The following is a 10,336-nucleotide window of genomic DNA, read 5'->3' as shown; positions in this document are numbered from 1 at the left end:
CAAGGTAATTAACCTGCCTGAACCGTCTTTTTCTCATCTGCGTGGCGTATGTGATACTGACGTATAATATTACCTAATACTATAGAACAGTAACAGCTAAGCCGAGTCACAGTGATGCCTGAGCCACAGGTGGTGGGAGGAGAATAAGGAGTCCCTGGGGATGTAACCGCGAGGCAGGGAGATGAGAGCTGGTTCTCGGGGCTGCCTTAGGGGGGCTCCCAGGGGAGAGGGCCTCTGCCCCGAGAGTCTGGCAGGATCTGCCTTGGTGCCTGGACAGGGTCTGGGAGGGTGGCAGGCCGCCCCGCTCAGTCACCAGCCCCCTCGTGTCATGGCAGTCAGGGTCACTGGGGGGCTTCCAGCCAGGAGCTGCCTGACGTGGGCTCAGGAGGGAACCCAGAGAAGGGGGCCCATCTGCAAGTCCACTCTAGGGTTCCAGCAGCTCCAATGAAAGCCCCCTCTGACCTCCCCGCAAGCCCCTTCCCCTCACCAGCACCCCACTGTCATTGCAGACATGACAATGTCACATTGTCCCTAACAGGGTTTGATTCTACTTTGAGTGCCTGTATCCTGACTGCAAATGAAAAGGCTCCTATTTCTTATTTATTTATTTTTCCCATAAATAGAAGGAAACAGTAAAACGAAACCCGGTGAAAACAAACCAGCTTACTTCATTCTGGCCTGGGGCTTTGGCCTCTGAAGCCTCCCAGCTGGAGGGGAGAAGCCCAGAAAGGGACTCCCTCTTGGATGAGGCTGAGCAGTCATTCAGGTTACTCAGGGACCTGGCAGGGTCCCGCCCACCTGGTGGAAAGCCTGCGTCCACTCCTGCCAGGTTCAGAAAAGGCCCAGCCCTGCCAGCCAAGAGTGCCTCTGTACCCCCACCCTTGCCCCACACTCCCCTGCTATGACTCACACCAGGCCTTTCCCGGTGCCCTCCCCACGGTGGCCTCTAAAGCAGGAGACAGGGGCCCACGGTGAACTCTGGGGCTACAGAGGTGAGTTCAGGCCCAGACTGCAGGGCAGGTGGGGGAGAAACAGGAAGGCACCTGCCCCTGCCTGCCCCACAGCGGACCCAGGGCCAGCCCCCGAGCCACGGCCGGCGGTGGGGAGGGGAGGCATGCGGCTCTCGGGTTCCTCCCTCTCACCGTCCACAGCCACAGCATGGCCACCGGGCCCCAGGTGGCAGCTAGTGAGCCCAGCCAGTGTGCGTTCCCCTGCCTTCTACCTGCAGGGCGTCCACACCCCTGCCACCCCCAGGCCCAGGCCCTGACCTTTCAGGCTGTGGTCTGGGGCCTTATGAGTTTGCTGAAGCAGACGCCAGGCCCAGCTGCACTCTCTTCCCACTTTCCAGATGGGGAGACTGAGGCCAGGGGAGGTGAAGAAATGGCTTAGCTCATGTCCCACACTGGAGCGGGGTGGGCTGAGGGCAAAGCTGGGGTCCTGAGAACAGGGGTCCATGGAAGATGGGAGGCAGAGATCAGGGCTGATGGTGGCCCCCAACTGCCTGGCTGCATATCTCAATGTCAAGGTCAGACGTGGCTTCTGCAGGAAGATTCCAGGTCCCTGGGGCAGTGGCAGGCCCCTCACCCTGGGTGCCCTGTATTCCAGGCCCACCTCCTCGACGAAGTGTGTGAGGGCTCCTGGTGGCAGATCCTGCCCCTGAGAGCTGGGCAGTCCTGGATAGAGGCAGGATGGCAGAGCCAGGGAGAGGAGCGTGGGGACCACGGTGGAGGGGCGGCCACGGGCCCTCCGAGAGCTCTGGGACGGGAGGGACAGGCCTCTCATCTGCTGTGGTCTGTGGAGGCTGCAGCCAGCTCGGCCAGGGCTTGGCCTGTCCCTTCTAGATCCGTGTGCCATGTGCAGTCAGGTGGGCCTGGGCTTGCATCTGTGCTGGGTGACCAGAGCCAAGTCACTCAGCTCCTCAGAGCCTCAGTTTTCCCACCTCTACAATGAGGCAGAACATCCGTTCTCTATCACGGCGTCGCAAGTTATCCCAAAGCTCATGGTTCGAAACAGGCAGCGAGTGTGGAGCAGGAGTCCAGCTCTGAGGTGGCTGTGGATCACTGTCTCTCGTGGGCTGGGCAGAGCCGTGGGACTGGAGCCTTGGGCTTATCCGAAGGCTCAGCTTGGGGGATTTGCTCCCAAACTCACTCGCAGGGCTGTCGACTTAGCTCCTCGACACCTGGGCTTGTCCACAGGGCTTCCCCCCAGTGCAGCAGCTGGCACCACCCAGGATTCCAGAGAGAACCAGACAGCATGACCACGTTGGAGCCACAGGCTTTGCAACCGGATCTCAGGAGCCACATCGCATCTTCTCTGCTCCTTCCATCCCTAGAATCCAGTCCTGAGTCACGCAGTCCAGCCCACATCAGGGACAGGGGACTGCGCTGGCTATGAGCACTGGGGGCCACCCCTAAGGTACCCACTGTGGCGGCAGCAGCGCCCTACTACGCAGAGTGGCCTTGAGAAATGAGAATCTGCGGCTCAGTGCCCAGCCTCCCAGCGCTCGCGGCTCAGCGAGTGTGAGAACCAGCTCCTCCTGTGTGTGCCTCCTCCTGCTGAATCACAGCTTAATTCCTCAATGTCGATGCCTCCCATATCCCAGGCTCTCTCTCTGGTGTTGAGGGACACTCAGATGAATGAGATGTGGCCCCTGACCTGGAGAATCCCACAATTAAAGTGGGGCGTGGCAGGTGCTTTGATGTGGGGGAGGCAAAGGGGAGGCGTCCCGCAGCAGGGAGCAGCATCGCATGTGCCCGGGGGCCCCCAGGTGGGCATCCTCCTGTCAGAGCCCCTCCGGTGAGCCCAGACGCAATGGGATGATTAACCCGTGTTCAGCACTACCGAGCCGTGAATCTCGATGAGCCGGTGTGTGCTGCCTGTAAGTGAGCCTTATGTAACAGGGATGCTGGAGCAGCTGGCGCCCGCACACAGCCCTTCTTTTAAAATAGATTGCTTGTCTTTATATAGCCCAATGATTCTTTCTTCTGGCTCTGCCGTCTTACAGAGGCGCTGATGTAGGTCAAATATTGCTCGGTGAGAATTAATTAATCTATAATTGTATTGAAGGAAGGGGAGAAAAACAAGTAGATGCTCAGTGCGCTATACGGGTCGGGGAATAAGCTTTGCAGAGGAAGTTTTAGGAGAGCCGCGGCCACTGCTCTCTCAGACTTGCTGGCCCTCGCCCTGCCCACCGCCCGCCCAGGGCCCCCAGAGAGTACGGGGCTTGGAGTTAGCTCTGAGCTCCAGAGGCTCCGCAGTCCCCAGCCCCAGCAGGAGCATCACTTGGCCTGCTCTGGACCACCCGTGACAGGAGGCCTGGGCTCCCCTGTCACCGCCCGGGTCCTGCTCCTCACCGAGCTGTCCCCTCCCGTCTGCCCTGCCCCTCCTCCCTCTCACCCCTGAACCCACCTGGCCAGGTGTTTGATCCATGGGGACATCCTAAGAGCACTGCTGACCTCCTGCTGCCCGAGTCCCAGGCCCATTCCCGGCTCTCATCTCCACCAGCTCCCCGGCTCCTTCTGGCCCACAGCAGCCCCAGGTCTCCCACGTGCCCATCTCAGACCCTCTGTCCCCTTCCCCGCTGAAATCCTGCAAGCTGCCCCTGGGGCCACCTGTGGCCCAGGCTGGGAGAGACTTGCTCTTGGAGTCAGGTGCACTCTGGGAGGCTGAGGTCCAGGAAGTCCTGGCGTCTGAGTGGGGGGCCTGCTCTGGGGAGGCCCACACCTTCTCACAGGAGCAGGGCCAAGGGGGCGCTGGGGTGGAGGCACTGCCTCCTTTCTCGGTGAAGCCCCATCCAGGCTGCCCACATTTGGCACTGAGACGCCCCTTTCCCAGCCTCTCGCCTGAGCGCCATGGCCCTGGCACTCATTCAGCAGTCCCTGACTGGGTTCTGAGGATGTGTCACCAGGGGCCTGCTGGCTTCAGAGAGGGTCCGGAACCTTCTGTTACTACTCAAAGCACCAATGAATCCAGGCTGAGCATGGGGGCCTCAGGGGCGACAGCAGGGAAATGGCCGCACTGAACATGGACCAGGGCCGGGTCTGTATCTCCCAGTGAGGCCCTCAGGTAGCCAGTGCCAGTGTTCCCAGGGACCCAGGGACATGTGTTGAATGCCCGTCCCCCGGCCCCACTCCAGGCCTTCCATGCCCAGGACAAAGCACGGGGGCCCAGCTCACAATGAAGGATCCTGGGATTCTTGAGAGCTGAGGTGGTGGGTGCTCCTGATTCCGGGGGAAGGTTCTGGTTCCTGCAGCTTTGACAAACCCCAGGGCCAGGCCTCACCCCCAAGCCACAGAGGCAGCCCCTCTGGGAGCAAGTCCGGGGCCGGAGGCTCGGGGGTCACCTCGTGCTTTTCCATCGCAGCTTGGGCTCGGGGCCGTGGGCCTGTGGCCTGGCTGGTGAGCTGCGGCCAACCCCCAGGCCTGCCCCAAGTGGAGTGTGGACCCACAGAGGAGCCTCCCCAGGCTTCTGTCTCCTCCTCAAGACCCAGGCCTGGCCCCTAGCAGGAGGCAAAGGCAGAGACCCCTCCCTCCCCTGGTGTCTGGCAAGGTCTCGTACCTTCCCCGGGTTGCTGATCCCGGGGAATGCTCCTGCTTCTGGCGACACTTGTTGCCTTGTCTTACACAGAACCCCAAACCCAAAGACGCCCATGAGAGACACAAGCTCATTGCCATGGTGGGTTGTGGTGGGTTGAGGCAGGAGGCGTCGCTGGCACCAGCTGTGTGCTGCTGGCTGAGGCCTCACCGGGATCTGCTTCAGTACCCGAAGCTTCACCCTCAGACACACCTCTTGGTGAGGACAGCTCCTGAAGGCCCCCATGGCATGCGGGTCCCACATAGAACAGGTGGCCGCCCGTCTGCAGGAGGCCTGTGCAGGGTTTTCTCTACCTGGCCCAGTGGAGTTGCTTCCAGAGCAACTCAGCACCTCAGAGCTGCTCATCCTGCTTTAACAAGTGGGGAAACTGAGGCTTGGGAGTGAGAATTGCCCCAAGGCCTCACGGCTGGCAAGTGGCAGAGCTGGGGTGGGATCATCCCACCCTTGGACATGAAGTCTGGTTCTTTCCTCTGTAAAGGGGTGCAGTGTCAACTGCTGTCTGCATGGAAGTAGAGTCTGGATGCAATGGCCGCGGGGCTGGGGGGGACTCAGGTGAGGGGATACACTGGCTGGTGGGGGGGTGCCCAGGTGAGGGGATGCACTGGCTGGTGGTGGGGTGCCCAGGTGAGGAGATGCACTGGCCACAGTGGGACTCAGGTGAGGGGATGAACTGGCTGGTGCTGGGGGGTACTCAGATGAAGGGATGCACTGGCCCGGCCAGCTCAGGGCCCTCAGGTGAGCGGCCGCCCAGGCCTTCACACTTTGGGAGTGGCTGTTCCTTGGCCAAGGGGAATTCTCCTATTGAATCAGCCGTGAGTGCTCCTGTAGAATTGCGGACCCTGTGAGAGAATGTTTTTATCCAGAACAAATTGAGAGGCTCCCCACCACGTGCCTTTCCAGTCACTTCTCCCATTTCAGCCTCAGTTTCCCTCCCTGTAAAACGGGGCTGTTGGAAGGACGAGGGAGACCTGGGCCCGGAGCGGTGGTCGTGGTGGCTGCCCACGCTGTCTTCTCTGCGTGCACCTCCTCTCTGGAGGCCAGGCCCAGGGTCCTGCCTTCCTCCTCCTCCTTCCTCCTCCAACAGGGAGACTCCGCAGCGCCAGGCCGTGCCTCCTCCCAGGAGTTTCGTTCTTGTTCACTGTGGTACAAATGTCAGGGAAGAATTTAAATGAGGGAAACCGTCTCAGAGAGTGTGTTCTGGCAGGATTTCAGGACACTTGTAATTAAGGGTGCAGCGAGGAGGGACCGACCCCACAGCGAAGGGAGGGCTGGCGCCGGCAGGCGGGGCCCTCAGCTGCCTCTGCTTCCTCTCGGTGCCACCGTGACCCCAGCCTCCGGTCTGCGGCTGAGCTGCCCCTCTGAGCTCTGGAGCGGAAGTGGGGGTCTGATGGAGGGGGCTGGCCACGCAGTCCCCTCAGACCCTGCCCATCACTTGCCCCTCCCTGACCCCTCCAGACCCCCCTTGGGGTCTCTCTAGGCAGCCCTGCTAGAGGGGCCCACCTGTGCGCAGCCTTTGGCCATGGCCTCTGCTTGGCGGACCTGAATTCTGGAGCCCCTCCCACCCTGCTCCGGAGCGGTCGCCAGCGCCCCGGGCCCCTGTCCCTCCAGTGACAGCGGCTGTCTCTTCAGGGTCAGAGGGTCGGGCCCCCTACCTGCAGCAGCCTGTTCTCCCCAGGCCCAGGGGCAGCCTTGGAGGGGCATGGAGACCCAGCTCCGGAAACCCTGGGGGCCGGGAATGGGAAGGGGCAGGCCGGGAAAGGGATGTGGACATCTATTTAGCGCTTACTGCATGCTGCCCTGTGTTTGGCACGCATCGTCTCATTAATCCCTCAGTCTTGGGCGTGGCTCCTAGTCAACCCATCTTACAGGGGAGAAAATGGAGGCCCAGAGGGGCTTCAGGTACTGGTCCAAGGACACTCAGAGGCTGGGCAGGGTGGAAGGTCACTGACTGAATGCCTACTGTGTGCAAGGTTCTTCTGCTCTGGTTCATCGTTGGAGTCTGGCTCTGTCCCGGGGCTCAGGTGTGGAGCTTGCGGTCTTCCTCCAGCTCGTTCAGGGGCTGTGGTGAGTTTTGTGGTTTGGGGGTGGCTGGATGCTAGCCTCAATCTCGAGGGGCTCATGGTCTAGAGTGGATGACCGGCTGCCATAACACCCTGTGGGGATAGAAGTCAGGGAGGAGCCCAGGGTTCTAGGGTGTTCGTGGAGCAGAGAAGAGGGCCCGGCAGGCTGCCTGGAGGAGGTGAGCTCTGAGCAGAGTCCTGGAAGACCACAGGGACTGTGGGTAGAATGTTTATGGGTGTGCAGGGAGTGGGGAAAAGGACGGGGGCAGGGAGCCCGTGTTGGGGCCTGACCAGGGCTCCACCGCAGCAATTATGAGCAGCCGGGATTGGAATTCTGGACGGTCGCCTTCCAAAATCCCCCAGGTGCCGCAGCCCCACCTTCCAAAGAAGGAAATGAGAATCCGAGAAGGGCCGGGATTTGTCCAGATCAGGGACAGATCTGACCCGAGTTAAGATCTGAGTTGAGGCTCAAGGCTCTCCCTTGTGAAAATTAAATGAGATTTAAACCAACTCAGCCTTAAAAAAACAAAAACAACACCCCCCACCCTGCCCCTGAGCTGTCTTCAGCCCCATTAGGGAGAGTGAGAGAGCAAGGGTCTGCCAGTGAGGAGATGGGGCTCCGTGAATGTAATTAATCACTTTTCAATTAGTATTCAGGAGCTTTTGTCTGAGGACTTGAAGCAGGTTAGTTCCAGATTGCAGCGCCAGGGTTTTCGGATGCATTTTTATAAATGTTGTGAGCCGAAATAGAACGCTGGGAGCTGAGCAGGCAGCCCCAACCAAAGGGAACAGAAATGAAGCCCCACAATGAGAGAAGTGATTGGGAACGGGGGCGTCTCGCCTGACACTCTGCAAATTCCTGAGCCGCAGTGCAGGAAGGGCTGGGCCTGCAGCCTGGGAAGACTCTGGGATTCAGTCGGTGCTCCATAAACGCTCCTGGAGTGCTGAATGCTCCCCACAGGGAGATGGGTAGGGTATTCTTGGCGGCTCTCAGGGAAGGTTTGGGATTTCGGAAAGGCTGTTCTGAGGGTGCGGGAGCTGGTGGTCCCTGGCTGTCAACCACGTGCCAGGAACTGTGTGGGGTGATATTGACCACATCTCTTAAATCTCCAAGGATGGAGGGTCCCGTGAGTACCAGAGACGCAGGCACTGCTATCCCATTTCACAGATGGCAGGCTCAGGGTCCGGCGCCCTTCAGGGAGGGAGAGTTGATCCTCGGTGAGAAAGAGCATCCGGTGAGTGCCAGGCAGTGGGTCTGGCTGGAGGACAAGTGCCTGCCGGGAATCGGGGGCCACACACGTTCCACTCTATCCAGCTGGCTGTGAGATCCTGGGGACCTCCCCTGGCCTCTCTGGGCCTGGGCCTGTAACATGGGAGTAGCTAGGGGCCCCTGGAAGCACCAGAGCCAGAGCAGGTGCAGGGATCACCCATAGCCTCGCCCTGCAGAGCGAGCTCCCTGTGTCCAGGCATCCCTGCAGGTGCTGGGTGGCACTCTGCTGCCCGAGAGGACAGAAGCACTGCTTGGGTGGCACTCTGCTGTTGGAGGGGACAGAAGCACTGCCCAGGTGGCACTCTGGGCCAGGTCATGTCAAGAATCCCTCTCTGTCCTGAGACTCAGCTTCTCCAGGCATGATGCAAAAGGACAAACAAATAAGATGCACCCTCCACCCTGACCCCTGCGGATGGTTTCTCCACCCGTAGCCACCCCAGCTCCCCCTAGCCAGGTGGTCTGTCTGATACCACAGGGCCCCAGCACCAGGCTGGGGCTGTTTCTGTTCTTTTCCAGTGGTCGGGTAGCTGGGCCTGTGAGTTCAGGGGACGATGGCCATGGGGGATGTCATGGACTGAATTGTGTTCCCCAAGTTCACATGTTGAAGTCATAGCTCCCCCTAACTCAGAATGGGATGTTATTTGGAAATAGGGTCATTACAGATGTAATGAGTTCGGATGAGGTCACTAGGGTGGGCTCTAACCTAGTGTGACTGTGTTCTTATAAAAAAGGGCAATTTGGGGACAGGCATGTATGTAGAGAGATGCCATGGGAAGATGGAGGCAGAGGTAGGGGTGAGGCTTCCACGAGCTACCGAGTGACAAAGATGGCCTGCAAGGCCCAGAAGCCGGAGTGGGGGGCCTGGGACAGTGTCCCTCATGGCCCCAAAGGAAGCGGCTAACCCCTGCTTATGCCTCGTTCTTGGACTTCCAGCCCCCAGGTTGGGAGACAATCAGCTTTGTTGCCTGAGCTTCCCATTGTGGGCCACTTTATTACAACGGCCCCAGGAGACGAAGGCAGCCAGGTGTGCAAGCCCGGGGGTCCGGGTGGGCAGGGACCGAGGGACAGCTTCCCAGCAGGGGAGTGGGAAAGCAGGCACTTCCAGCAGGAAGGTTTTTGGTCTGGGCACCCCTGGCCTAGGGCCAGCCCTGAGAAGCAGGCAGCAGAGGGGCCAAGCCAGGCTGCACTGTTGGCTGCAGGGTCGAGGGAGGGGGCAGCACCCACAGAGTCCAGGCTTCCGGGCACTCGGGCTCCTCCCTTAGGGCACACACGACCCCCAACAAAGGATCCTGATGAGTCATTGTGGGAGTCGCAGCCACTGGGCTGCCTGCAGAGTAACACGGGCCGGGGGTTGCACAGCAGCAGCGCACTTCTCACAGCCTGGTCAGCTCCGCCTCTCTAGTTTGGGAGTGCCCAGGCCCCTGCAGCAAAGGGCCCATCGATCCCTTGTCTCCGAGTTATTTGTGCATTTGTATTCTCAAGATGGAGTTTGACCTTTCGGTTTAACAGCTCATTTAGTTAATCACCGCTGCAGAAGACCTGACAAGTTCTTTGTGGTCCTAGCCGGGATGCCAGGGCCAGACGCCTCTCCTGCCTTCCTCGCCGGAGCTCCAAGTCTGACTTTCCACGTTAATTTCCTCATTACCAGGAATTAGTTTGTAAACAGCGGAGGAAACTTCAAGGTCTTTGTCTTCTTAAGGACACTCATTATTCCCCATCGAAATTCAGAGCAGGGATTTGGACAGTGTCCCAATGCTGAACACTCACCAGCGTCGCGATTATTAATTCTTTTATAAATAACTCGATCTTCATCATGGCCGCATATTATTTATGATAACTGTTATATTATTTAGATGTCATCGGCTCCATATTAATTACAGCTGCTGGCAGGGTTGTCAGCTGCAGAGAGAGGTGGCCTCTTCTGTCTGGGATCAAGGTGATTCCAGCCCCTGAAGTCCTTTCTCCTCTGTCCTTCCCATAGTTTCTGCTCTCGTCGCCCAGTTTTGGGGGTTCCCAAGCAGCAGACAGCCAGCTGACATTGTGCAGCAAATAAGAGGGTCTTCCTAACTGATGGCGTCAGGAGGGTCTTTCTCTGCTGTCCGGGGCTGGCCCGGGGCTCACAACCCTGAAATTCCTGGGATGCAAGATGGCAGACTCAGGTGGGTGAGGCTGGACCGAGCTCTTGTTGTGAGGACAGCTGTCTGTGTCCACGGAGGCCCAGCCTCCAGGTTGGTGTGTGAGTCTCCTTTACAGCCTTGTTGGGTGGAGCCTCGCCCATCACCATCACAAGCGGGTCCCAGCTGGTCGCCTAGCACCATCTCCTTCCCCCTGAGCCATCCTCCAAAGAGCTACCGGGGACCCGGTAAGACCTCACCGTCCAGGGAGCCGGCCACTAGCACACGTGAACACTTCA

The 10,336-nt window shown here is 59.5% G+C and overlaps 1 non-coding gene across 1 annotated transcript, besides 2 other annotated features; it reads right to left on the bottom strand.

Annotated features, from left to right (window-relative positions):
- Positions 1 to 7,176: 7,176 nt before the first annotated feature.
- Positions 7,177 to 7,256, bottom strand: MIR4472-1 (microRNA 4472-1). The gene has a single exon (NR_039682.1). It is a non-coding gene; the product is annotated as a microRNA 4472-1 (primary transcript).
- Positions 8,588 to 9,130: an enhancer, noted in NCBI's record as "H3K27ac-H3K4me1 hESC enhancer chr8:143255826-143256368 (GRCh37/hg19 assembly coordinates)". NCBI's record gives its function as "activates a minimal SCP1, AML or CMV promoter by ChIP-STARR-seq in naive H9 embryonic stem cells {active_cell/tissue: H9 hESC(naive)}" and the evidence as "EXISTENCE:reporter gene assay evidence [ECO:0000049][PMID:30033119]".
- Positions 9,131 to 9,674: an enhancer, noted in NCBI's record as "H3K27ac-H3K4me1 hESC enhancer chr8:143255282-143255825 (GRCh37/hg19 assembly coordinates)". NCBI's record gives its function as "activates a minimal SCP1, AML or CMV promoter by ChIP-STARR-seq in naive H9 embryonic stem cells {active_cell/tissue: H9 hESC(naive)}" and the evidence as "EXISTENCE:reporter gene assay evidence [ECO:0000049][PMID:30033119]".

The sequence above is a fragment of the Homo sapiens genome, chromosome 8, assembly GCF_000001405.40.
Source record: "Homo sapiens chromosome 8, GRCh38.p14 Primary Assembly".
NCBI lineage: Eukaryota > Metazoa > Chordata > Mammalia > Primates > Hominidae > Homo > Homo sapiens.
The sequence above is the reverse complement of the archived record's forward strand: the minus strand, read 5'-3'. Positions and strand labels throughout refer to the sequence as shown.